Source organism: Homo sapiens, chromosome 2 (genome assembly GCF_000001405.40).
Source record: "Homo sapiens chromosome 2, GRCh38.p14 Primary Assembly".
In the NCBI taxonomy this organism is placed as follows: domain Eukaryota; kingdom Metazoa; phylum Chordata; class Mammalia; order Primates; family Hominidae; genus Homo; species Homo sapiens.
In genome coordinates, this window is record NC_000002.12 from 39,060,799 (window position 1) to 39,074,387 (window position 13,589).

Consider the following 13,589-nt stretch of genomic DNA (forward strand, 5'->3'; position numbering starts at 1 on the left):
AGTCTAAAAACACTGGTGAACAGTGTAGACATAAAAGCAGTAGAAAAAAGTAAAAATAAAAAAATAAAAGCAGTAGAGAAGGACAGAAGTTGAACTCAACCTAACAATTAATTCTAAATAGAGTTACATGTCTTTGAAAAAAAAAAAAAATCACCAGCGGTGGAATTACAGAGACTAATTGTAGGCAGGGGTTGAGGTAGAAGAAAAAGAAAACAGAACAGCAACCCCTGTCCATATCAATTATGTCTACCTCATTCCAGGTTTATTGTTTTGAGGAAGGAAAGAAGAGGAAAGAAAATCTCGAATGATTTTTAAAAAGGCAAAGTGGTAATAATGAAGCATAGCACATTTTAAACTTACTTACAAGGGTATTAATGAAATCAAATTACCAAATACATACTTAGGAGACAATGTCAAGGGTCAAAATGCATGCGGAAAGATTCGTAGGGTTAAAAAAAAAAAAAAAAAAAAAGGTGTTTTGAATGTGGAGAGGCCATACTGAAGGAATTACTTTATTTCTTGTAGTGGCAAATTTATAATTTTATGATAAAATAAAATTTCTTTCACAAACACTTTATATTTCTTTACTTTTTATTTATTTTGGGGGGGAACAGGGTCTCGATCTATCACCCGAGCTGGAGTGCAATGATGCAATCATAGCTCACTGGAGCCTCAGCCTCCTGGGCTCAAGTGATCTCCCTGCCTCCGCCTCCCAAGTAGCTGGGACTATAAGTACGTGCACCATGCCCAGCTAATTTTGTTATTTTTAGTAGAAATGAGATCCTGCTATGTTGCCCAGGCTGCTCTGGAACTCCTGAGCTCAAAGTGATCCTTCTGCCTTGGCCTCCCAAAGTGCTGGGATTACACACATGAGCCACTGCATTCGGCCTTCATGTATTTTTAAAAAGAAGCCCAAGGAGGACTGAACAATGAAAGATTCATGAATTAGAATACTATTACTCTCCTAATTTCAAGATTAATAATTTTATTTGTATTAAATGAGAAACTCTATCTTGATTAATATCTAGTACCTCTGGGAAACATTAATGAGATACAGAGCTAAGCTGAAGATTCACCTCTATTATTAGCAGAACCCTGTCTTCTCCTTTACATAATAAATAGGTTTAAAAAGATAATCTTGATCAATTCCAATATAAATATTCTAGGTCCTATATAAATTCTTACATATGTACTTCAGTTAAAAAAAAAATCAGATCCCCACATACTTTGGTATGTGTGGGAGAAATTTGTTTTTGTTTAGAAAGGTAGAAAATATGGATAAATTATTTGGGGAATCTAAATGTTAATGGAAAGCTTATTAGAAATTATAGGGACTTGGCTGGGCGTGGTGGCTCATGCCTGTAATCCCAGCACTTTGGGAGGCGGAGGTGGGCGGACTGCTTGAGGTCAGGAGTTCAAGACCAGCCTGGCCAATACAGTAAAACCCTGTCTCTACTAAAAATACAAAAATTAGCCAAGCATGGTGGTGCTCGCTTGTAGTCCCAGCTACTCAGGAGGCTGAGGCACGAGAATCACTTGAACCTGGGAGGCGAAAGTTGCAGTGAGCTGAGATCACACCACTGCACTCCAGCCTGGGTGACAGAGGGAGTCTCTGTCTCAAAATAAAAAAAAAAATTAAAAAAAAAAAGAAAAGAAAAGAAAGAAAGAAATTATAAGGATTCTTTAGGATTCCAAGGGAAAAAAAGCTAAAGAAAAAAAATGAACGGAAAACGAAAGCAGACGTTTTACATTTTACGATGAAGGGCTAATGACAATAAAAAGTCTAAGATAAAGAAGTTAAAAAAAAAAAAAGCCTGAGATGAATGAGGAAAAGAAAAATGTATCACTGTCCTGAGAAATCAAAGCTGGTTAAATATAGGTACATATAGACCAGAAAGGGAAGGAACAACAAAGGAAATCAGTCCAGTCAAGTAAAGAACAAGTACAATTATGAAAGGACAAGACCTAAGAAATTAAAGAATATACTTTACTAGGGTCAAACACAGGAAAAAAATATTAGCTTTTGCCTCTATTTTTTCAAAGTTTAAATACAGAAAATTATATTTATTATAAAAGAGGGAAAGAAATAGATTGAAGCAATTTTTATACTATCTTTTAATACTTGAATGAATTGGAATCAACAGAGCCAAATAATATATACCCTTCTTCTGCATTCCCCAGCATTAAAATATATATAATACAGTTGGCCTTCCATATCCATGGTTCTACATCTGTGGATTCAACCAACTGCAGATCAAAAATATTTTTTTAAAAATAAAAAAATACAAAATTTAAAATACAATGTAATAACTATTTACATAGAATTCAATTTTTTTTTTTAAGAGTTAGGGTCTCACTCTGTCACCCAGACTGAAGTGCACTGGCATGATCATAGCTTCCTGCAGCCTTGAACTCCTGGGCTCAAGTGATCCTCCCACCTCAGCCTCCTAAGTAGGTGGGAGTACAGGCACAAGCCACTACACTTCGCAACATTTACTTTTTATTAGGTATTACAAGTATTCTAGAGATGATTTAAAGCATATGGGAGGGGTGTTCATTAGTTATATGCAAATACTATGCCATTTAATATAAGGGACTTAAGCATCCATGGATTTTGGTATCTTCAGGCAGCAGCCTGCAACCAATCCCCCATGGAAACTGAAGCACGACTCTACTTCCTTATTCATCTGCAACACTGCCTGATGGTAAATACTAATATATTGGCAGTACCGATTAGTGATTATTGGCTACATCAATAAAACAAAATTCCATTCATTTGGACTATGATACTTTATAATTTGTGATAATCTGTAGTACAATTTATCAAAACTTTTTAATTACCATCAGCAAAACATGTATGCAATCTATCTGTTTTCAAGTACTTTTGAAGCACCTATTTTCCTAAAACTATACAGCAACTAAAAATCACTCTTAGACATATCCCCTAGGAGCTACCAAATTAAGCAGTAATTGCTACCATACTTTGAATTATGCTTATACTTTAAAGCAAAGTGTATTCTTTAAACATTTTTTTTTTCAAACTTCTTTTTTCTTCCTTTTGAGACAGGGTCTCACTCTGTCAAGAGTGCAGTGGCGCGATCACAGCTTACTGCAACCTCAACCTCCTGGGCTCAGGCGATCCTCCCACCTCAACCTCTCAGGTGGCTGGGACTACAGGCATGTAGCCCCATGGCCAGCTAATTTTTTGTATTTTTAGTAAAGACAGGGTTTTGCCATGTTGCCCAGGCTGGTCCTGAACTCTTGGGCTCAGGCAATCTGCCCACGTTGCCCTCCCAAAGTGCTGAGATTACATGTGTGATCCAGCCACCACACCGGCCAAATTTATTTACTCCTTAAATTGATGTATAAAACTGTACATGTATATCATGTACAACATGATGATGCTTAGAAGTACATATACACTGTGGAATAGTTAAATCTAGCTAATTAACAAATGCATTACCTCACATAGTTATTTTTGTGGTGAGAACAATAAATACCAATTCTTAGCATTTTCAAGTGATGTTAACACCTCTTAATACCACCACAGTGGGGTTTAGGTTTCAACATGAATTTGGGAGGGGCACAAACATTTGGACCATAGCAAATGGTGCCTTACATTCTTTTATCAGGAAATAATTTTCCATTTTCCTCATTGACTAGGATTCAGTATTTCTTTAATACACTTACAAAGCTTTGTATTAAAATAATAAGGGCCCATTTCAAGAATATACCATCATTAACTATAGTCACCATGCTGTACAATAGGGTCTCTTGACCTTATTCCTCCCAACTGTAAATATGTATTCTTTGAACGAATCTTCCCCAGTTCCCTTTCTCTCCAATCAACACAGCCTCTGGGAACCATTATGAAGCGTATTCTTCAGAAAGATTTTTAAATGTGTATATTCTGCTAATTCAGATTGATCTATTTTTAAAATACATTTTTTTTTTTTTTTTTTTTTTTGGAGATGGAGTCTTGCTCTGTCACCCAGGCTGGAGTACAGTGGTGCAATCTTGGCTCACTGCAACTTCTGCCTCCCGGGTTCAAGTGGTTCTCCTGCCTCAGCTCCCAAGGAGTTGGGATTACAGGTGCCTGCCACCATGCCCAGCTAATTTTTTTGTATTTTTTTTTTTTTAGTAGAGATGGGGTTTCACCATGTTAACCAGGCTGTTCTCAAACTCCCAACCTTAGGTTATCCGCCTGCTTTGGCCTTCCAAAGTGCTGGGATTACAGGTGTGGGCCACTATGCCCAGTCTCTATATACATTTTTCTTATGTGACCCTCAAAACTTAAGAAAAATATTTTATGACTCATCCCAAAACACACTTAGGGCTTGCTAAATTTAGGGCCCTTATTATTTTAATAGAAAGCTTTGTAAGTGTATTAAAGAAATACCGAATCCTAGTCAATGAGGAAAATGGAAAATTATTTCCCGATAAAAGAATGTAAGACACCATTTGCTATGGTCCAAATGTTTGTGCCCCTCCCAAATTCATGCTGAAACCTAAACTCCACTGTGGTGGTATTAAGAGGTGTTAACATCACTCTTCCATTCTCATGTAAAGTCCTGCTACCATTCTGTCCAACTTTATGGTTTACATTAGGGACACACAAAATACCCCAGCCTCTTAATTCTATAAAGACCTCATCTTGGAGACCTTCACCCCTGGTCTAGCCATATCCTGCTTTGTAACTATGTTACTTATGAAATCTTACATTCAAACAACTCTTTCTCTGATCTCAATCTGCTCTATTTCTCTCTTTCAGATGTCCTAATATTATCAGTTCTCTGACCTTACTGAGAACTCTAGTACCCTTTTCTCTCCATGTTTTTCCATTATATGTGCCCTCTCCTACCTGGTATCAGAATGCATGCTCAAAAAGCTAGACTTTCTGGTTAAAAGTCTTGGCTTCACTACTTAATAACTTGGGCAGGTTATTCAACCTCTCTGTGCTTCAGTTGAATCATTCATTCAACTTATATTTTCTGAGTGTCTTCTCTGTGCCAGATATTGCTCTAGGTGCTGATGATTCAACAGTGAACAACAACAACAAAAATTCCCTGGAGCTTACATTCTAGTAGGGAAAAAACTAATACCATCTTGATGGGATTATTACAAAGTTTAAATGAAATGTAAAGTATGGAAGTATTCAGACTAGTGCATAATACTATATAGCAAACCCATCAGCTATTATCACATTTCACTTTTTTCCTTATCCAATTTCGATTCAGTGATGCTCTTCTCAGCAGTTTCTCATTGGATATGCCTGTCTATCAATCCCTCAGCCTTCAGGGTAGAAGGACAAGGCCTGAGGTTGCTAGAGATTACTTCCTACCCAATCACACATAAAACCCAATGTTTTATGTGTGCCATAAAAACATTACTTTCTATGTGTGTTGTGTCCTGAAAAGGTTGCAAAGCACTGCCATTACCAGTTTTTACAATTCCCTTGCCCTGCTGTTCTCCTGCTATACATCCATGAGGAAACACCATTCAGTCCAACTATCTTTTTTTGTGCTCACACTTGAGTGCTGCAAAAGCAAAGTCACAGAAACCCAAAGATTTGAAGTACTGTACACTTGAAGTCATTAAAGTCAAACGGTCCTTCATCATTGCCAGGGAACTCTTTCTATTTCTAGCTGTATCTCCCATTTTCTACAATTGGTACTTCAAAAACCTTATTCTTCTCTCCAACTTTCGACTCCTTCCGAACTCAGTTTAGATGTATCTTTTTCTTGGAAGCTATCCCAAACCCCAAAGCATCTATCAGTTGCCCCTTTCATGGTTTCCCATATACTCTTTACTCATAGAATATCACATTATGTTACTGACTACATATCTCTCTGTATCTCCATTAAATCATAAGCCCTAAAAAGACAAGGGCCATATCATCTTTCTAAGAGATTACACAATCTCCTTCCTAGGTGTTTAGATGTCTCCCTCTCTCTCAATTGGTGGGAAATAATTCACTTACCACCTAAAATACATGTAACAACTGAAGATCAAAACATTAACAGAAATCTTTTTGGAATGTTAGCTGGCTTTAATAAAAGAAATGCTTGGACATATGCCACTCCTAAAGGTATGGGTATATCATTCTATCATCAAGAAATTGTTCGTTTTAGCTTACAAACAAAAAAATGTATAGTTTAACAGCTAGAATATATACAAACTATCCTATATGCAATACAGGTTGATTATCCCTAATCCAAAAATCCAAAATCTGAAACTTTTAGCATTTTTTTTTGGAGTCATGGTTCCACTCTTTCATTCAGGGCTCACCGTAGCTTCGATCTCCTGGGCTCAAGTGATCCTCCTGACTCAGCGTCCTGAGTAGCTGGGACTACAGGCACATGCCACCATGCCTAGCTAGTTAAAAACAAATTTTTTTTAGAGATGGGGTCTCACTTTGTCTCCCAGGCTGGTCTTGAACTCCTGGGCTCAAGTGATTCTTCTGCTTTGGCCTCCCAAAGTGCTGGGATTACAGGCTTGAGCCACCACATCAGGCCAAAATCCAAAACTTCTAGATGCTGACATGATGCTCACTGGAACACATCAGAGTTTGGGTTTTTGGATTTGGGATGCTCAACCAGTAAATATACTGAAAACATTCCAAAATCCAAAAAAAAAACCTCAAAATCTAAAACACTTCTGTTCCCAAGCATTCTGGATAAGGGATACTCAACCTGTAAAGAGTTAAATCCAGGCTTCATTTTCTTATATACCATATATATAGAGAGAGCAAATTCTTTCCCTGTTCACTGACATTACAACCAACACACAAATTAGATATAAAGTAAATACAAGACAACATTTGTCATACCTCTACATCTGAAGCACTTCGGGGCTGAGCTTGGCATAGCATATTTAATAATTGCAAAATTAATTCTTCAACATACTGAAGAGCATCATCATTAGACTCGAGAGTAGGATGAACTTGCCCCTGGACCTATAAACAAAAAGCAAAGTAATTAAAATGTGGGTTCCATATCATTAAACAAATTTTTAAAACTTTAAAAAATGTGGGTTTGTGGCCGGGCACGGTGGCTCATGCCTGTAATGCCAGCACTCTGGGAGGCCAAGGCGGGCAGATCACCTGAGGTCAGGAGTTTGAGACCACCCTGGCCAACATGGTGAAACCCTGTCTCCATTAAAAATACAAAAATTAGCCGGGCCTTGTGGTGTGCGCCTGTAATCCCAGCTACCCAGGAGGCCGAGGCAGGAGAATTGCTGGAACCCAGGAGGCAGAGGCTGCAGTGAGCCAAGATCTTGCCACTGCACTCCAGCCTGGGCAACAGAGCAAGACTCTGTCTCAAAAATAAGAAGTGGGTTTGTATTTAAAAATGTGGTCTGGCTTGCAAATACAGATTTGAATGATACTGACCTAGAAGTCAGGAGTTCTCAACCCTTTTTCCCAGCCACATGCTTATATGTTCCTGGAGATCCAGTTTACCTAACTAAATAATTTCAGTATGTTTTTTCTCATACTATGGTTACAATATGATGCAGAAATGGGGAAAGGAAGAGAGAGGCTGAGGTGATGATAAAAGATACAGTTTGTATGTTTTTGCCAGGAACCAGTTAGAACATTTATTCAACATTCTGCTTGGGCAAAACTGACCTCCTATGGGCCTCTGACTGTTGTTTAACTTTACCATTCCTAATAAATGATAAAATCCAGGAGGGGCATGTCTCATCAAGTTCACCAGTGTATCTATGGCAGCAAGCACTGTGCAGGCACGCATATTACAAGCTTGATAAATTTAAATAGTATTTGTGAACACAAAGTCACCCTGTATCAAAGGACACAAAATTTGTAACTGTCTATACTTCAGGAATATTGGTGGCCTAAAAATCTTTACCTTCTTTCTCCTCAACCATTTCTTTAATTTTTTTTTTTTTTATGAAAAGTTTTACTTAAGAGTCCACACTGGAAAGAAGCCTTGACCATTTCTTTAGTTGAATCTCAGGCCAGTGGCCTCTGTAAAGCTTGCATGTTAATAAACAGCATGATAGTCTTTACTTGCATCCCTTTGTTCCTCCCTAAATAAATGGCAAGAAAAGACAGTTCCAGGAGAGAAACAATACATGTTCCAAAACATGCTCAACTCTCCAACAGGTGGTAGGGCACTTACTGGATGAAAGTGCACAGTACTCACTGGCTCAGAGCACACAGTATGGCCTGTCCTACTACACTTCATTAGCTGAGAGGGTGTGACAGCCTCAGTGTACAGGGAAAATTTTATAAACAGTGTACTAGACTGAGTGTGGTGGCTAATGCCTACAATCCTAACACTTTGAGAGGCTGAGGAAGGAGGAACACTTAAGGCCAGGAGTTCAGGACCAGCCTAAGCAACACAGGGAAAACCTGTCTCTACCAAAAAGCAAAAAAAAAAAAAAAAAAAAAAAAAAAAAAAAAAGCCCAGTAGGGTGACACATGCCTGTAGTAGTCCCCACCTACTCCAGAGGCTGAGGTGACGTGGAAGGATCGCTTAAACCCAGGATGCCAGGGCTGCAGTGAGCTATGATTAAACCACTGTACTCCAGCCTGGCCAACAGAGGGAGACCCTGTCTCAAAACAACAATAAAAGATAGTATCCTACATAATAATTTTTTAAAAGTACATATATGTATATATACATACGTATGCATTCATATACATTTTAAAGGCAAATAGCATTGTAACAATCCAGAACTGCATGAAGAGGTACTACACAGAGTATGAGCTTTAAAACAAAACTTATTCATTTTTTATTTTTTTGAGACAGGGTCTCACCCTGTCACCCAGGCTGGAGTGCAGTGGTGTGATCTCGGCTCACTGCAACCTCCGCCTCCTGGGTTCAAGCAATTCTCCTGCCTCCGCCTCCCTAGTAGCTGGGATTACAGGCACCTGCCACCACACCCGGCCAATTTCTGTATTTTTAGTGGAGACGGGGTTTCACCACGTTGGCCAGGCTGGTCTCAAACTCCCGACCTCAGGTGATCCACCCGCCTTGGCCTTCCAAAGTGCTGGGATTACAGGCATGAGCCACTGTGCTTGGCCTAAAACAAATTTTTTTAACAATTTAATTTTACAGGTGAAGAAACCCAGAAGGCTTAAATCATTTGCCCAAGAACTTTTGATCATATTGACTACAACAATTACCAATCTGATTATAATTTATCTGTTTACAAGTATCCCTGTTAGGTGACTGGATGGTTGTACAGTTAAAATAATAGACAGTGTGTACTACAGCCCAGAATTCATAATTCTGAGTTCTGTGCTCTCCATTCACCATACCACCACACTCTGACTAACGTGTGTAGGTATCAAACCATATAAACTTATTCCTCTTCAATACTTAGCATGACCTTTAAAAAAAACAAAACTGGAACTTGCAAAAGTTTTCTTTTTGTACACTGATTTGCATGCCCCCAATGGCTTAAACTGTCTTTTCAGATAACCTTTATCTTAATGAACAAGATCTTCATTTTGCAGTGAATGCTACCACCACATGGTAGGCTATTTCTATCTGGTTCTCAGTCAAGTTCCTTTCATTTCTGAAACTCTTTCCTTAGTATTAGGACATACTCTATTCAATTTCTTCCCTAATTTCCTTATTCCTTTTCCATGTCCTTGTAGAGTTCCATATCTTCCTCCATTCCTCCACCCCTTCTACTCTTGTATGTTCACTCCCTTCTCTTCTGCCCCCTAAGTAACCTCATTTACTTCCACATTTAACAGTCACCTGCATGGATAACCCCAAATCTATCCCTAGTCCTGATTTCTCTCCTCAGTTTTAGACCCAAACTTCAAATTACCTGTAGGATAGTTCCACCTATTCTACCAAAATCTCAAACTTAACATGAAAAAAAGAAGAACTTAAGTATTTTAGAAAAACACAATATAGACTGCTCCTGATTTCACTTAGATGTAGTCCTAGAAAATGTAGCTATAATTGGGGGTTACATTCCAGTTCAAAGCCCCAGCATCACATAAACTATAGCTACAGATTTATAAAACCACAGACTTAAGAGTTAAAAGGGACTTTAGAAGTCATTTAACTAAGTCCTCTATTTATTGTATTTGTTTATTTGAGATGGAGTCTCGCTCTGTCACTCAGGCTGGAGTGCAGTGGTGCAACCTTGGCTCACTGCAACCTCCACCTCCTGGGTTCAAGCAATTCTCCTGCCTCAGCCTCCCAAGTAGCTGGGATTACAGGTGCCTGCCACCACGTTGGGCTAATTTTTTTTTAGTATTTTTAGTAGAGACCGGGTTTTACCATGTTGGCCAGGTTGGTCTCGAACCCCTGACCTCAAGTGATCCACCCACCTCCACCTCCCAAGGTGCTGAGATTACAGGCGTGAGCCACTGCACCCAGCCAGTCCCTCTATTTAGATGATGAGAAAGAAAAATGATACACCCACAATCCTGTTGCTAACTAGTAATACTGCAAATATTGAACCTGGGCCTCCTGCCTCTTTCCACTAAACCCTTGACTGTTGAACCTGGAGGAATCTGCGGAGTACCCTAGTGTACGGAGTGGATGCCCATGGACCATATCTACTTATATAGTGGGCTTCCATATAAAACTTGGCTTGAAGTATGTTGTCATACTATTTAATAAACATCTATCTCATGTCATAAATACAACTACAGTCCTATAAATCTTTACAATTTGAAAAGGGAAAATCATCATTGGTTACACAAAGGATCCCAATGTTTATAAGTTATATAAAATTATATTCAAAATCTGATATAAATCTCAAATGTTAGAGAAGATAATAAATGTTAAAATGAAAGTATTTCATCAATAATTCGAATTACCTTTTAAAAATATCACAGGCCTTTGAAGAAGGGGTCTAGACATTCGAAAAGATGTTTTAGAAAGTATTCAAGAAAGTATGATTAAGTTTTTTTTGTAAAGTTCACTGTTTTTCAAAGAAACCCATGTATATAATTCTTCACTAATATAGCTCCATTTCCAGCTGCTCTTCAATTTACACTTTATGCTAATGCAATCTGAACTATTCGCAGTTTGCTAAAACACGGCATGCAGTTTCGCTCACACTGTTCCCCATGCCTGTCATTCATTCTCTCAAGTTTTTTTATCTGCCTATTTGGCTTTTTTTTTTTTTTCAACTTGTTTTCTTTGTCCTTTTCTTCTTCTAAGCTATTTGAATTTCAAAACCCAGATTACACCCCATTTAGGAAGACTTTCTTGTTTCTTATCTCTAAGGCAGAATTAATCTCATTCATTTAACTGATTTGTTGAATCTATTAAATACTAGACCCTCTGTTAGGTATTGGATATACAGATATGAATCAAATATAATCCCTGCTTGTATGGTCCTTATACTCTTACTGGGTTAATCCCTATACTATATATCACATTTCTGTTATTGGGTTTATCATGTTGACTTATAATTACATGTTCCCTTGTCTGTTTCCTTTTTTGGATAGTGATGTTCCAACTGGGCAGGGCTTTATGTACTTATAATTTTCTCCTTGCTTTTCACTCTAAACCCCTGACATTCAGGGGATACTCAAGGCTTCTGTGTTATAGAGGTGAGGGGAATAAAATATTTCTTTCTTGGAATTAAAATTGAAAAGGTGTGATGGTAAGACTAGAGAGTCTGTTTGGTTGTTTGGTTGATTTCAGGAGCATAAGCCTTTAAAGCAGAAACCATTCACAACACAAAAGCAGTTAGAACTAAAACAGATGTTAATTATGTAGAGTTGTATATAGCCACAATGCAATGAAAATGCAATGGTTAAAGACAACAACGTGATACTGCTTATAATTCTAGCACATATAATTCAAATGTTAAGTTTGGCACTTTGTATAAGCAAAATTTTGGAAATTCATATTCAGTTTTATTTATTGATGGTTACTAATATCCAAATAAGAACTATTAAATAAATCAAACAAAGAATTAGCTTAAACAGAAAATAACACGTGATGCCAACTGCACTTCTAAGCTTCTAGACATTAACCATTTTCACATCTTAAAATCTGTCAAATGGGAATCACAAAACTCATCCATGTATTTAAGAGATCAATAAATTGTTTTACCCCCTTAAAAACAAAAATAAAACTTAAAAACTCTAACTGAAAAACAAAGGCAATGGTCCATACTTAAAACGCAAGCAGAGTACCAACTCCTAAAAATACACAGGCTGTTCTTTATTCTTTCAAGAAGATGCTGTTAGGATATTTCTTTAAAGAGCAAACAGAAGTAGTATTATATTTCACATGTAGGCAGAATAAACACACTTCTATTCCATGAGATAGTGTTACAGCCAAAGTGCTCCATTCCATCATAAATGGTACTCAGAGACATTTAATAGATCAAATGATCCAAGTTATTTAACTCTATACAGAATAGGTTACCCTGTCAAATCTTACGGCAGTCTTCAGAAGCCATGTACAGCTGATTCAGAGTTGCATGTGTGTTTATGAGCAATTATAAATAAGCATTTCAAATTGGGACTAAACTATGTGGGTTTTCCCGGTTTTGCCATTTAATGGCAAAACATCAATTACTTTTGCACCAACCTAATAGTTTTCAAAAAACATTACATTTTATACTTATGTTTACTGACACAGAAAATTTCATATACTTCTTTATATTTTCTTAAAGTAATTTAAGTACAATTAATGCAAATACTTTACTAAATAATTAACAACAGCCTTAATAAGAATTTTATAGTAACTGTTCTTTTAAGGAGTAATCACTATATTCAATTAAAGATGAAAACTCTTGAATTATAAACCTTCCTTAAGGACTACTTGATTCTATCTTGACAGTTCATTTTGTCTCTAGTAAGTTCCAGCAGATTCTGAAGCAACTTTATTGGCTATTATTGCCAGGTTTTGTGGAGTCTGAAAAGGCAAAGGGATTTAGGTGTATATCGATTCCTAGTTGTTTGATACATGAGTTCTCCAAGTGTATTCAAGAACCCCTTGGGTAAACTGCCAGAAAATACTCTGTTGAATTCTGATGAATCTTTCATATCCCTTGCTAGCTAATGGCTTTCTGGAGAATTGGAAAAGCTTCTAAATTATGCTCTGTCATGTCTTGAGCTCAGATCTGTTACTTTTATTTAAAAATATAAAGACAGAATTTGAGATAAAACGTAATAAAGATCGGAATAATCAAATCTCTTTCTTAGTGTTACAATTCTTTAGTCAATGTTTGATGCTTTAGGTGCTTATCACTCTGAGGTTAAAAAACAAGGCAAAAATCTTTCATCAAGAAATAAAATTTAAGACCAGCCTGGGCTGGGCGCGGTGGCCTACGCCTGTAATCCCAGCACTTTGGGAGGCCGAGGTGGGTGGATCACCTGAGATCACGAGTTTGAGACAAGCCTGAGCAACACAGTGAAACCCCGTGTGTACTAAAAATACAAAAATTAGCCAGGTGCGGTGGTGCCCACCTATAATCCCAGCTACTGGGGAGGCTGAGACAGGAGAATCGCTTGAACCCGGGAGGCAGAGGCTGCAGTGAGCTGAGATCCTGCCACTGCACTCCAGTCTGGGTGACAGAGTGAGATTGCATCTCAGAAAAAAGAAAAAAAAAAAAAAATAGACCAGCCTGGC

The 13,589-nt window shown here is 37.7% G+C and overlaps 1 protein-coding gene across 8 annotated transcripts in view; it reads right to left on the reverse strand.

Moving 5' to 3' along the window:
- SOS1 (SOS Ras/Rac guanine nucleotide exchange factor 1) overlaps nucleotides 1-13,589 on the reverse strand; it is a 143,320-nt gene that overhangs the window by 79,250 nt on the left and 50,481 nt on the right. For all 8 annotated transcript variants that reach the window (XM_047445581.1, NM_001382394.1, NM_001382395.1 and 5 more), the window contains exon 2: nucleotides 6,830-6,955. In XM_047445581.1, coding sequence (XP_047301537.1) covers nucleotides 6,830-6,955 — 126 coding nt within the window. The remainder of the gene's footprint in view (nucleotides 1-6,829; nucleotides 6,956-13,589) is intronic.